Genomic DNA, 15,248 nt, shown 5'->3' on the forward strand with positions numbered 1-15,248 from the left:
ATTGTGAATGGGAGTTCACTCATGATTTGGCTCTCTGTTTGTTTGTTGGTGGTGTATAAGAATGCTTGTGATTTTTGTACATTGATTTTGTATCCTGAGACTTTGCTGAAGTTGCTTATCAGCTTAAGGAGATTTTGGGCTGAGACAATGGGATTTTCTAGATATACAATCATGTCATCTGCAAACAGGGACAATTTGACTTCCTCTTTTCCTAATTGAATACCCTTTATTTCCTTCTCCTGCCTGATTGCCCTGGCCAGAACATCCATCACTATGTTGAATAGGAGTGGTGAGAGAGGGCATCCCTGTCTTGTGCCAGTTTTCAAAGGGAATGCTTCCAGTTTTTGCCCATTCAGTATGATATTGGCTGTGGGTTTGTCATAGATAGCTCTTATTATTTTGAAATACGTCCCATCAATACCTAATTTATTGAGAGTTTTTAGCATGAAGGGTTGTTGAATTTTGTCAAAGGCCTTTTCTGCATCTATTGAGATAATCATGTGGTTTTTGTCTTTGGTTCTGTTTATATGCTGGATTACATTTATTGATTTGCATATACTGAACCAGCCTTGCATCCCAGGGATGAAGCCCACTTGATCATGGTGGATAAGCTTTTTGATGTGCTGCTGGATTCGTTTTGCCAGTATTTTATTGAGGATTTTTGCATCAATGTTCATCAACGAAAATCAATATATATCATAACAGCTCTGTAAATGTTTCTCTGAGTTCTGTGAGCCATCCTAGGAACTTAATTGAACCCAGGGAGGGGGCTCATGCGAACCCTTTTTTTTTTTTTTTTTTTTGAGATGGAGTCTCATTCTGTCTCCCAGGCTGGAGTACAGTTGCAGGATCTCAACTCACTGCAACCTCTGCCTCCCGGGTTCAAGCGATTCTCCTGCCTCAGCCTCCCTGGTAGCTGGGCTTATAGGAGCCCGCCACCACACCCAGCTAATTTTTGTATTTTATTTCATTTATTTATTTTTTTGAGATGGAGCCTCGCTCTCTCACCCAGGCTGGAGTGCAGTGACATGATCTCTGCTCACTGCAAGCTCCACCTCACGGGTTCAGGCCATTCTCCTGCCTCAGCCTTCCAAGTAGGTGGGACTACAGGCGTCCACCACCATGCCTGGCTAATTTTTTTTTTTGTATTTTTAGTAGAGATGGGGTTTCACCGTGTTAGCCAGGATGGTCTTGATCTCCTGACCTCGTGATCCGCCTGCCTTGGCCTCCCAAAGTGCTGGGATTACTGGTGTGAGCCACCGTGCCCAGCTTAATTTTTGTATTTTTAATAGAGACGGGGTTTCACCATGTTGGCCAGGCTGGTCTCAAACCCCTGATCTCAAGTGATCCACCCGCCTTGGTCTCCCAAAGTGCTGGGATTACAGGCGTGAACCACCATGACCGGCCGTGGATGTAGTTTTTAGCCAGGCAGTCAGAAGTATGTGTCGCCTGGACTTGGAATTAGTGCCTGAAGTGGGGCTGGTCTCATGGGATCGAGCCGTCAATCTGTGGGATTGGACACTATCTGCAGGTAGACAGTGTCAGGATTGAATTGAATAAGAGGACACCCAGTTGGTCTCTGTGAGAAATGTTTGGTGTGTAAGGAAAAGCCCCCACACAGCCAGCCACAGAAGTGTGCTATTGTTGAGTGTGAAAGTACAAGGGAAAAACAGTTTGCTTTTTTGCTTTACAGTGGGATATTTGATCCATAGGTCTATATCTAAGCACATGAATAGAATGTGTTTGGGCCTGGTTTTTTAGTCTTGCTGGTCAGTAACTAGTTTGACAAGAGAGACTAGCACACTGATCCCAAAAGAACTAGGCCAAGAGCAGATAGGATTTGTGGCAACTTGAACCTCTTATTAGCTCCTTAAAAGACGTACTTTTCTAGACTTCTTTGGAGCCTGGGATTCTAGTACTGGTGAGTTTCCACCGGCAGCAGACTCCCTGAAGATTCGCTAGCTCTCTGCAGGGTTGGCAGGCCACTACCACATTTAGTTGGCTCCTAGGGTATGTTCTACACCAGACTTCCCATTGTAGGAAGGCCAAGAGAACTGAAGACACAGTCTCTACTCTGGAGGTGGGGAAGTGGGGGAGGTGGTAATTTAATTAACAGTAGATGGTGGGTGAGGCGACTTGGTAAGGTAAGAGGACACACAAAGGAAGTAACTGCAGTAAACCTTAGCTGGCGGCACAAGTGAGGAGGTGTGCTTGAAAGAGAAATGAAGTGTCTGGAGGTGGGTGAGTATATTCTGGTAGGTGTGACAAAGGCACTGTTCCTCCAACACCAGTCCTGGGAAAGGCATATGATATGGTTTGGCACTGTGTCCCCAGCCAAATCTCATAATGAATTATGAGCTTCAGTGTTGGAGGAGGGGCCTGGTGGGAGGTGACTGGATCATGGGGGTGAATTTCCCCCTTGTTGTTCTCGTGCTAGTGAGTTCTCATGAGATCTGGTTGTTTAAAAGTGTGTGGCACTGCCCCTTCACTCTATCTCTTTCCTGCCGCCATGTGAATATGTACTTGCTTCCCCTTTGCCTTCCACCATGATTGTAAGTTTCCTGAGGCCTCCCCAGCCATGCCTCCTGTATAGCCTGCAAAACTGAGTCAATTAAACCTTGTTTCTTTATAAACTATCCACTCTCAAGTAGTTCTTTACAGCAGTGTGAGAACAGACTAATACAGCATGGGATCCCAAGTAACTATGCATTCAGAGAAGAAACACAGGTATGTTTGGGAACTGGATGATGGAAGGTACGGGGAAGCACAGTAGGTAACTTTCATGGGTCCTACACTCTACAACATATTCTTGGGGTTGGAATGAGTCAAACAGGAGACTGATGTCCAGGATGGATTTGGCTGTTTATGTTCCCAGGTGTAGGTCTCTTCCTTAACAGATCACGGTACCTTCATTACAAATGGCCTGGGAAGCGTACTTAATGCAGAAACCCCAGCAAATTCTTACAGGGGTTAGTCATGCAGTTATACATTTTCATTCTGGGATTTCTAGGGGCTTAATAAAATTCCTTCATTGGATCATTTAATCCAAAATAAATTATTTCCCTACACCTACTTTATACTTGCTCCCTGATTTCATACCAGTGAGTATAACCTGATGTAACTAAACATTCTGAATTTTTGATGATACCCAGAGAAGAGTGTGATAACCAATTCTCTCAAAAGCGATTTACTGCAAATATTTTCATTTACAGTAAGTCCTTACTTAACATTGTGGATATGTTCTTGGAAACAGTGACTTTAAGCCAAACGAGGTACTGTGTGGCTTCATAACTCAACTCTTTTTCCTATCAATTAGACTATGGGAAAACTGGTTTCGTATGCATTATGTCCTTTTGCTTAAAGTGGTAGTTTCCAAGAACCTATCAATGACATTAAGTGAGGACTTATTGTAATCTGATATCTGCGGGTGGATAATTTAAGGAACACGTACATAGTTAAACCTGTAAACTGCTGCAAGTTCCAGATATTATCAGTTCTATTTCTCCATAATTACAATTCCAGTTTTGGGGTTTCTTTTTGCTCATTAAATTTGAAAAGCCAATTCCAGTTTTAAAGCTTGACCCTTTTCTTATAACTTTTTTTATAACTGATAATATATCAGTTATATCAGTTATATTTCTTAGGCTTCATGAAACCCTCAAACTGACTCTGAGGGTGGCCTTGCTATCTAACTTACAAAACCGGTTATCTTGGTTTGCGTTCATTTTATTTCCCTTGCATACATTGCTTAGCTGCTTCTGATTATATGCCTCTTAGCCACGGCTGCATATAAAAGTGTAATAAGAGAAAAGTGTAACTAAGAGACACAGAAGAAAGAGAAATTCCATGAGAACCAGATACTTTTATGGATGCCTTTTGGAAGCTCTAGATTGAGATGTATCTTTGTTGTCAATTTATGCTATGAATCCAAACGAAAAACGGGGGGGAAAAAACAAGTAGGCTGTAGATGAAAGTGGAAGAAGAAAAATGAGTCTATATATATATTACCAGTTTTATGAAAGTATATGAGTCAATATTCCATCAATACCTAGAAAAGTAATAGATCAATATGCTGATTTTAGGGGTGGACACAAAGGTGTTATAAGCGTCTTTTATCTTTTCTTTTTTCCCTCCTTGACTCTGAAGAGAAACACCATTTTTCTACGTATGCAAAGAGTAAAAATTCAGAACTAACACACAGGGATTAATAGCAGTGAATTGCAAACTCAACTCAGTGGTATAGTACCTGGCAACATTATTACTCAGCATATTTCCCTGGCTGAGGCTGATTTCATTTAAAGTAGTTTTATACTTGTGCTAAAAATGTGTACATCACATTAAGGGAGAAAAGATCCTCTACACAAATGGATTGTACCTACATAACCTTATGTACCAGAGAGGAAAACATCATTCTCATGAGTCACAAAGCTTTCTTCTTCTTGTCAATATGATAAACAGTTTCCGGAAATTGAGAATGACGCTGGTTACTTTCCTTCCTCCTGAACATGCCACACTGAAGAGACAGGGATGACTCCTTCCCTATGGGACAGACACACATGTAGCTTTCCTTGGGTTGTGGAGGAAGGCATGGCCACAACACCATCGGCAGCCTGCTGCAGGGACCTCACGATGAGAGGAAGTAATGGATGCCTGGGCCAGGGAAATGCATATCTGGGAGAAAGCAGGAAATTCTGATGTAGAGATAGGGAAGAACCCTGGGGAAAAGTACCCAAGCTGGGCGGGGAGGAGGAAACCACCAGGATCCCAGGATCAGAGATAAAGGACACAGGGACACAAACAAAGTGAGGCCAGATGGAGAGGGCAGTCTCACGGGGAGAGCAAGCTCACAGGGAGAGCATGAGCCAAACCTGGCTTATTTCACACTCATCAGAGAGACTGCACAGATGGGGCCAAACCAGGGCCCAGGAGCATCAGAGAGAGGAGGGCCATTTCAAACACTTTTGTAAAATAAGCTCAAAGCTTCTTTGTTTATTTGTGGGTGTGGGAGTGGAAACGTAGGGAAAGTGAAGAGAGTGGGGAAAAAGGGATGGGTGATTTTGTAGGCAAGATGCTCCCTGAGGAGGTCCTGGTGGACCTGCTGTGGGGAGTGGCATTCTGCACACTCTCATATCATGGGGAGCGCATGACTACATTACTGCTTACACATCTCCAAGTGCAGCTTGGGGGGTGAATGTTTAATTGTCTCACTGTAACTGTCTAAATCTCTGGAAAATCTGAAGGGTCATGCATTTGATTTAAACCTATGAGGTCTGAATGAATTCTCCTCCATGCCTAACCGAGTGAAGCAAGTATATAACCAACCATGCATCCCTAAGCAGGGCCGGTATGAAGGGGAGGAAACGCCTCCCCACTGAGCTCACAAAGAACTTCATCACTGACCTGAATCAGATCCAGCAGGAAATGAAACACTGAGTACATAATTTTACAGTAGGGGGAGGGGGACGGAAAACAAAGTGAGCTGAACTGAAACGTGAGAAAGAACAGAATGGCAGTGAGTCCACGGGGCAGGGCCGCAGCTTTCTTTTTTCATGGCCCTCAGTCCAGTAACCCCACCCGGCATTCGTAGCGGGTGACATCACTGATGCCCCAAACATGCTCCAGCAATTTCCTGCTTTCCAGAGTCCAGCCGAGCAATGATGTCAGTGGTGCACCTGGGTAAAGATATGGCAGGGCCGGGTCACAGGGAGTGGGGACAAAGGCCAACCCAGTTAAATAAACTGCTGGTCTTCTAGGGCCTGGTCCCTAGGCAGGCTTCCACCATGAGATAGGTATAGCCCAGGCCAATCCCAACAAGAGGAAAAAAAGCATGTACTTGGCTGGGGGCGGTGGCTCACACCTGTAATCCCAGCACGTTGGGAGGCTGAGGCAGGTGAATCACGAGGTCAGGAGTTTGAGACCAGCCTGAACAATGTGGTGAAACCCCGTCTCTACTAAAATTGGAAAAAATTAGCTGGGCGTAGTGGTGGCCGCCTGTAATCCCAGCTACTCGGGAAGCTGAGGCAGGAGAATCACTTGAACCCGGGAGATGGAGGTTGCAGTGAGCCGAGATCACACCACTGCACTCCAGCCCACGCAACAGAGTAAGACTCTGTCTCAAAAAAAAAAAAAAAAAAAAAAAGAATGCACCCATGCAGTGCCTCCTGTCACCCTCTGCCCAGAAAGGGCACAGGGGCCAGGGTGAAAGAGTTACAGGAAGACAGAGGGAAGGAAACCGTGCAGAGATAACCACATGGGGGCAGGCCCTAAGCTGCTGGGACCTCCACAGTGTATCCCTTTCCTCCAACTGGGAGACGGAAGCACCGACGGTCTTTCTCTACAGTGCCAGGAGCCACCCTGCCCCCAGAGATGCCCTACAATCAATGACTACCATCTAAATGCTTCTGGATAGTTTCATTCCTTGTAGGTGATATTCCAAATATTATAATTTGTACTTCTCCACAATTACAATTCCAGTTTTGGGGTTTCTTTTTACTCATTAAATTTGAAAAGCCAATTCCAGTTTTAAAGCTTGACCCTTTTCTTAAAAGTTTAACTTCTCTTTTTATTCAGGCTTCCCACTAAACCCTCAAACTGACTCTGAGGGTGGCCTGGCTAATTTACAAAACCGGCCAGGCTGCTTAACCCCTAGATTCCAGCCCAGAGTGTTGCCATAAATTGCTGTCAAGACATGCCTCTATGTCCCATGTTTGCCAGTGAGAAAAGGGTTCATATTCTAAGTTCTTCAAGTCTCTCTCACTGCCTCAATTTTGAAGTCAATGGAAAACAGTCAAATACACCAAAAATTAACTTCAAATGGATATCTGCTATGAATTCCAACTTGGTTGGACACCTCTCCAGGCCAACTGTTGTGAAAATGCGTTGTTGTTTTAAAAAACACTGTGAGAGATGGCTGGGCGTGGTGGCTTACTTGAGTTCAGGAGTTTGAGAACAGCCCGGCCAATATGGTGAGACCCCAGTCTCTATGAAAAATATAAAAAATGAGCCAGATGTGGTGGCATGCACTTGTAGTCCACGCTACTTGGGAGGCTGAGGCAGGAGTATCACTTGAACCTGGAAGGCGGAGGTTGCATGAGCCGAGATCATGCTACTGCACTCCAGCCTGGGTGACAGAGCAATACTCTGTCTCAAAAAAAAAAAAAAAAAAAAAAAGAGAGAGAGAGAGAAAACACTGTGAGAAGAAAGAAGTCAATCACCCCCTCTCCAATGCCCAACACAGTAAGCAAGAAGGGCCCAGGAACAAATTAACAGGGAAAAACAATCTTGCATTTGCTTAGTGGAATCTGGGGTTTGCACACATTAGTCAGAGCTAGACAAATCATACTGAATACACTTCTTATAGAAACATTCTAGCTCTGATGGCCTTTCCTTGCTGTCCCAACTTTTGAGGTGCGAAAACACAGCAACACAGCCAGGACCGGCCAGGTGATGGCACAGAGCCCGCTCCCACAGGCTGCGTCTGTGTTCTCACTCTCTTGCAACTGGCCTGAGTTAAGCCTTCTCCCCAAGCACTTGCAGTTTATCATTGCCCTATTTACTGTATTTTCATGTTATAAAAGTGATATACGCCCAACGTAGTAATTTGATCTAGTTTTTGTTTAATGGCTATTAAATGCTCAGAAGTGAATTAAGGTTGCAGTTAAATGCACAGTTTTTATATCAAACTATTTTCTTTGCTAATTCACTTCTATCTGCGTCTACCAGCTGTAAACTACCTGAAGCAGAGAAAGCTTCTTTAGGTTGGGGCTTCCTGTAGCCCTGAGCTGAGTGCCTTATGCAGCATTGGCCGAGTGAATGAATTTGTTGGGTGAACTGCTTCGGGGTTTAGAGTCCGCAGAGGATAGGACAGGACAGATCGTGATCGAGGCTAACCTTCTCATCTACTCTACCATTTCATGCTCTGTTTGGGCACCTCCATCACCCCTCACTTCCCCTGATGGTCCAGTCTCTCTGGGCCTGCACTGTCCAGCTGCCCTCTTATCCCTAAGCCAAGGCCTTTGCCAACTAAAGCTCAGGAGTAAAGTGGCCATCACTGAGGCCATTCTATGTATGTATGTATGTATGTATGTATGTATGTATGTATGTATTTAGAGATGGAGTCTTGCTCTGTCACCCGGGCTGAAGCACAATGGCACAGTCTTGGCTTACTGCAACCTCTGCCTCCCAGGTTCAAGCAATTCTCCTGCCTCAGCCTCCCGAGTAGCTGGGATTATAGGTGCCCGCCATCATGCCCAGCAAATTTTTGTATTTTTAGTAGAGATGGGGTTTCACCCTTTTGGCCAGGCAGGTCTCGAACTCCTGACCTTGTGATCCCCCCACCTTGGCCTCCCAAAGTGCTGGGATTACAGGCGTGAGCCACCGCACCCGGCTGACTGAGGCCATTCTAAGGAATATACAGCAAGCTCTTCAGTACCCATTTTTGTTAACTGAGGTATAACTAAATGATACACAGGCCCGGCACAGTGGCATGAACCTATAGTCACAGCAACTTGGGAAGCTGAGGTGGGAGGATTGCTTGAGATCAGGAGTTTGAGTCCAGCCTGGGCAACACACGTGTATAGGTCTATGAGTCTGGAAGAATGTATATAGCCATGGAATCACTACCATGTCAAAACATAGGGTATTTCCATTATCCCAACAAGTTCCCTCCTGCCCCTCTGCAGTCAAACACTTCCCTCCCCCAACTCCTGGCAACTGCTGATCTGAACTGTAGACCTGAAAATGTCTTTCAGAACCCATTTCATCTGGACCCTTCTCTCTGTGTCAACATTGCTGTGAGCGGTGTCTGTGGGATTTTTCTGGACGTTCTCTGCCATGCCCCTGCTCCTTCCTTCCTGCCTTCTGGAAGGCACCCCTGCCAGGAGTCGGCTGCATTAAAGTGGGTGTTTCAGGGGTGTCTTCCTTTACTCTCTTCTCACTGATTTCCAGCTATCCCTGTGTCTCTTGTTTAATGAGTGCCTTCACCCATATCCTTAAACCCACCAGGGCGACCTTCCTGCCCCTTTCTTTGGAGCGCTGTATCTGTATTTCCAGTGGAGACACAGACTGTTCCTTAGATCCTATTAACCCTCCGAGCTCTCTCTCTTCAAGCCAGGCTCATTTCTGGCTTGGCCAATCTGCCTCCTCCCGTGTCCTTTCCATGACACGGTGATGGCATCACCAGCCAGTCACCAAGCTAGAACAGTCCCTTCACCCGGCCCCTACTGTAGGAGGATACTTTTAGAGTGTGTCTGCAATTCACCCCCACTCTCCGTATCTACTTCTGTGGCCAAAGTGTGGACCTTGATTTCCTCTGGCCCCAGCTGAATTAACCCACCTCTCTGGGCCTGGTTCTCTTTTCACTAAACATTCTCCACATTGCTGCCAGAGCTATTTTTCTAAAATACACGTCAGACCACATTCTTCTCCTCCTTATTTAAAAACAAAAAATAAAAAAAATAAAAAACCAAGAAACAAACAAAAAACCCACCCTACCGTGGCTCCTCAGTGTGTAGAGATCAGATTCAAGTTCCATGAGATGGTCTTCAAGATCCTTGGCCATGTGACCCCGTCCTGCTATCCCAATCCCATTCCCATTCCCATCCCCAGCCTCCCCACCTCATCCAACTCCAGCCACATTGGATCACCCCAGGAGAGGATGTCATGTATTAGTACTCTGGTGCCTTTGAGTCAAAACTCACTGTTTTGCCAGTTCAGAGGTTGAGCCCTTTTTGAAGAATCCCCTCTTCTTCCACAGCCCAGGTAAGTTCTACCCCAGGCATAATGAGCTGTTATCCCCCTGGGATCTGAGGGCATTCAGAATACCAACACAATGCTCTCCAGATACCTCTATGCTATTCAAATCCATGCATCTCACACCTGCTCATCTTAAAATCTCTGTGCCTCACATGCAGGAAGAATTCAAATGATGCTGATTGAAAAAACATTGTGTCCAATATTAGATGAAGTATGTAAATATCAAGGCAAGAATCTGCACTTTTTGTCTGTCTATTGCTTGTTTGCACAATAGAGCCACATGGTTTATTATAAAAAATTATTATAATGTATGCTGTTTAAGCTCAGATCACTTTGCACTAATGATGATGATAATGATGAGTTAGAATTTTTTTTCTTTTCTTGCCATGGGATCTGCCAGGTTTTAAGAATTCTTTTTTATTCTAAACCAAATTCAGGAGCACTCCCAAAGACAAGAAATCAAATTTAGGCCACTGATGGTACCAACGGAAGGCTATCACTGTGTAGCTATACAAAATGAAGCCAATCTTCATGGATTTTAAGCACTTTGATAAGCTTTTATATCTCTGTTCATCTCCTTTACCTCCATAGACAACACAAAATAACAGAATAATCAACCAATAGCAACGTAATCCCATCACAACAACATCAAAAATGAGAATTCATATGATTCAGTAATTTCCTAAGCCAGAACTTCCCACCTGATGTGCTGGGGAAGTGAGAGGGTGAGGACTGCTTTCCCCAGCCCTTGGGGTGACTGGGCAGATCCTGTCTGGTGTGAGCAGTCAACCCTACTGATTACATCATTTTGGGTGCTATGTGTGATAAAGGTTGACAACCACTGTCCTAAGCCATTCTACCATTTAAATAACAGACTGAATTCTCCCAAGTTATGTTCTTACTTGCCTTAGGAAGGAAATTAGTATTATGACTCTAAGGATCCTGAACACATGATCTAAAAAAAGAAAAACCCAAACCACAATGGCAAAGGTAGGTGAGACAGAGTGTTTAGAAAAATAGCGAATACTGTACTATTAATTACTCCCAATTCTCCCTAATCCATGATTTTTAAAGAGCGGGTGGAGCATAACGATTTGAGGCACTGCGACAATGCAGAATGGGGAGGGTTTTTGGAAAATGTGACTCATTCACCGTTCCGACCAAAGGGTAAATGAACCCAGCGTCTGTGCTGACCCGGACATCACTGATAGGTAAGATGAAGTCCCTTGGCACACCTTTTTTGTCAGGTTGGTGAGACAGAGAAAGGTCGGTCTTTGCCATGCAGATGGGCAAATTTCCAAAACCCTGTAAGAAAGGAAAGAAAATGTGTTCACTGATATAGATGTGAGTCTCCTATGTTTTTCAATTTGCACTTTATACAGTCTCGGCAGCAATGGTATGCCAGCTCAGATCTAGGCACACGCAGGAGCTGCTTGTTACTACTTGTTCACTGAACAAGCAAGAAGGTGAGGATAAAAACTCATCTCCATGTGATGACTGTTTAGTAGGTCAAGGGTGACTTTTGTTTATTTTGGAGGTTCTCGTTAAGAGAAGGCAGTGTTATGTGCATGTTTGGGAAAAACATTGCTATTTTCAGGCAAAGCAGCAGCTGTAGAAACCGCTTTCCAAGACTATTAATATCCGGGACCCAGCAAGGTAGTCTGGAGAAAGGCTCTGCGACTAGGCTCTTAGTCATGTTGTTCACTCATTCTGGAGTCAGTCAAGAAGCAAAGGGTTCCTTTGTGTTGGTTCATGAATCATGGTTATTTGATCTGCAACTACATTACAAGAACTAAGATGAGGTCACTATTTAAGCTTCTTGTTTTTAAGGACCAAAGTCTATGTCTGACCCAGAGTTCCAAAGGTGAAAGAGCAGGAAGTCACACGTGGTGTCTCACAAAAAGCACAGTGTCCTCGAAGCCTGTTTCTGATTAAATGGCACATAGTGTTCCTTTAGAGGCTTTGCTAATTCATTGCAACCACATACTTGGCACTAACTTTAAAAAAAATAAAAATAGAGATGGAGGTTTTGCTATGTTGCTCAGAGTGGTCTCAAACTCCTGGCTTCAACTGATCCTCTGCCTTGCCCCCACAAAGTGCTGGGATTAGAGGTGTGAGCACCGTGCCTGGTTGACACGACTTTTAAGGAGTATTTCCTTGATAGAGATAAAGGGAATGAAATCTTTAGTCAAATTTTCATAAGACTTAGCCTAAAACTATTTGGAAGATCTTAGAGTCTTAACTTAGGGAGGACTTGGGCTTGGGGCCATTTTCTTTTTGAAATCTCCACTCTTCTATACTGATAAGAATTTTGCTGAGTGAGAATCACAACTGCCTTTCAGAATGATGCCAGAATTTTGAATTTCAGACATGGTTAAATATTAAAGTAATTTCTATAGGTTTGCTAATGTAAAAATTTTGTCAGTAGGCATATTAAAAAGAAACAGAAACCAACCAGTATGCTATATACTGTCACCAGATTACTTCATAAAAGAAATAACATTTTAACACTGAAAGGAGAAAAGACTTAATATTACAATAAATGATAGTCTTAAATATCATTATTAAAAACTCAGGGGAAAAACAAACAAAGCAATCTCATGAGAATGACCTTATTTTACTTGGTTCATTGCACATGAATGAAAACTTCACCACAATGCCTAGGCACAGAGCAGTGCTTGGGAATCCTTTTTGTAAAGGGTAAGCCAAGAACATCAGGGAAAATTCTAAGAATTTAGAACTTTCTGAGTTCCTATTTTACCAAACCTAGGAGAACAAATACCCTGGCTGGCAATGGTAGCATTTAACAAAATTTCAAATGGGTTTACAAAAAAGAGTAAGGAGTTGGAGATTGTTTTTAAAGATAAGGTCAACACTACCAATCATGAAGCTCTTTAGCCAGCAGGCTCTTAAAATGTTCTGACTTCTATCTATCTGATTACACCAAAGTAGGAGGGACACTGGAGGCACATGGTCCTTTTGGTAAAAGTTGGCTGAGCCTCCTGTAATGGAGTTGATTCATCATGACTGTCACTGGACTAGGTGATGACACATGCTGTCAGATCATAGCCACCTTCCCAGCTGTTTGCCTACTTGCCTTTCTCAGTGGCTAGAGGTAGAAGATAATGGAGCCTTCAACCTCAGTGGACCAGCTCAGTAAAAAGCCAATGAACCGCTTGCATAAGAACAGCAAACATTCCCATCTTTATAGGCTGCACTCCTATCTGCCTACCCTGGCACCTTGCTAGCATTTTTAAGGTAGTAAGAGGCCTGTAAGGAAGAGGAAGCATTGCAATTCATCTAAATCTGACTCCGCAGCTCTACTCCAAAGGATAGTTTCAACATTCTGGGCTGAGTGGGAGGGATGAAAGATCACACATCACCTACAAACAGGGATACCACCCATATCAGACACATTTATAGTCACAGAAGTAAATGATGCATGGATCAGAGGATACATGCCTCACCATAAAGTTCTAAATATAGTCTGCACTCTACCCGAGGATATTACTTTCATCTTTGTTAACCAGAAAATAGATTAAGCAAAGGTTAGCTGGTGAGACATGTACAAATCCTCAAGTCAAGCTGAGTATTCTGAGAGCCTAAGGTGAATTTTTTCTTTTCCCTTAAAAGTACAACTTTTACCTGCTGAGTGTAACGATCTATTTTGACTTGTGCCTCAGGACAGAGTTCGATATCTTTGGCTCCACAGACAGCCTGGGCAATGGTCCTTATCTTGTCCACAATTGGAAGCTGCAGAAACACAAATTATAACAAAATTGTGTAAGTTTAATCTGGTTAAAGATTTTTTAAAAAGTTTAGTGACACTTACTGTAATTGCTTAAAATTCCCTTATCAGGGTACCCCCTCAGCAACTGCAGGATTCCTTGCAAACCCTCTTTTTTCCTTTTAGCACCCTAAAGCACTGAAATTTTCAGTGTCAGAATAGATCAGATGTCAAATAGCAAATAAGCCTTAGGTGTTCAGGCAATTTAGAGGCTGCTTAGAGCCCACGTAGAATCTGCAGAGGGAGGCCGGGCACAGTGGCTCACACCTATAATCCCAGTACTTTGGGAGGCGGAGGCGGGTGGATTACCTGAGGTCAGGAGTTCGAAACCAGCCTGACCAATATGGTGACACCCTGTCTTTACTAAAAATCCAAAAAAACTAGCTGGGCTTGGTGGTGCATGCCTGTAATCCCAGCTACTTGGGAGGCTGAGGCAGGAGAATCACTTGAACTGGGAGGCAGAGACTGTGGTGAGACAAGATTGTGCCACTGCACTCCAGCCTGGGTGGAGTGGGACTCCGTCTCAAAAAAAAAAAAAATCTGCAGAGGGAAGAGGGAAGTTAGTGCCTTACAGAGGGCTTCTGACTAGGAAGCCCCAGGACTGCGGCTGACCCCTTCCTCTCCCTGCCTCACCCCTGCAGAAAGATCTGCAGAAAAAGCTGGAAGGGGTGGGACGGTGTGTGTAGGGGTGGGGACTGGGGCTATGCAGTTTCCAGACCTGGTCTTTGGCACCCTCTACAGGACAGTTCCATTCCCACACCTGAGCTTTGGGCAACTGAATCCTATGCCCCTTCCCATCCATGGAACCTGGTGCCAGAAATTCCCAGGACTTACCCACTGTCCACCACGCCACATAGCAAGTGTCCTCAGTGTCTGCAGACCAGAAACAACTCCCTTGTGTCTCAGCACTTGGCCACCTGCTGAAACCCCAAACTGCCTGCCCCATTGTTTGAGACCCAGTCAGGCCTTGGCTCCAAAAGTCCTCTTGGACTGCCGCTGGCCCCCAGGGTCTCTCCTGACTGCACCTCGGTCCCAGAGCTCCCACGCCGCTGGGCCCCGAGCCCCATGCCCCGATCCAGCTGTGGCTCCTTTATGGGGGCTTTGCTGGCCTTTCCTAAGGGAGGTGTTTTCCCGAGGGCAGGTGGACTGCTCCTCAGACTAGGGGCCCTTGGAGGGCCAGGCCTGGGCTTCTACCTCCTCTCGCAGGCTGGTGTTTCTCTGCAAATATGGCTCGTGTGTCCTCCTTCCTCTCAGACTGGGGACCCCTGAGGACTGGGCCTGAGTTCCCCTCTCCCCCTTCAGAATGGGGGTTCCCTGAGGACTGACCCAGGGCTTCCCCCCGTCCCCTCCATCTGGCTGTTAATCTCCAACACTTCCACCTCCAGTCCTATTCTGCACAGCTCTCCCCAGCGCTGGGGGCTCAGAGGCCTCTTCAGCCTTCCCCAGGGCTGGGGCTCAGGGAGGGCTTCCTCAGGCCCTGGCCCCAGAGTCAGCCTGCACATTGGCTTGGAGGACAGGCCTTTCCTCTGGGACTGTGAGGCCCAGAGTGCCCACCCAGAACTCCACCTCTGACCTCACAAAGGCCTGCTTCAGAACTCGGTCTCCACGGCACTGCTGGCCGGACGAGGGATGTTATTTTGGGCAGTGCATCTGAACTTGGTTCAAGTGGCACCAGCCAAACCCCTGCCTTACTGACCTCTCCCCTGGA

At 45.1% G+C, this 15,248-nt stretch overlaps 1 pseudogene across 1 annotated transcript; it reads right to left on the reverse strand.

Moving 5' to 3' along the window:
• Window positions 1-4,008: 4,008 nt before the first annotated feature.
• On the reverse strand, window positions 4,009-15,216 carry LOC100133920 (methylenetetrahydrofolate dehydrogenase (NADP+ dependent) 1 like pseudogene; annotated as a pseudogene). The gene is made up of 4 exons (NR_024443.3): window positions 15,114-15,216; window positions 13,399-13,506; window positions 10,906-11,058; window positions 4,009-5,672 (listed from the first exon to the last, which is right to left on the reverse strand). The product of NR_024443.3 is annotated as a methylenetetrahydrofolate dehydrogenase (NADP+ dependent) 1 like pseudogene (transcript).
• Window positions 15,217-15,248: the final 32 nt, after the last annotated feature.

The sequence above is a fragment of the Homo sapiens genome, chromosome 2, assembly GCF_000001405.40.
Source record: "Homo sapiens chromosome 2, GRCh38.p14 Primary Assembly".
Taxonomy (NCBI): Eukaryota; Metazoa; Chordata; class Mammalia; order Primates; family Hominidae; genus Homo; species Homo sapiens.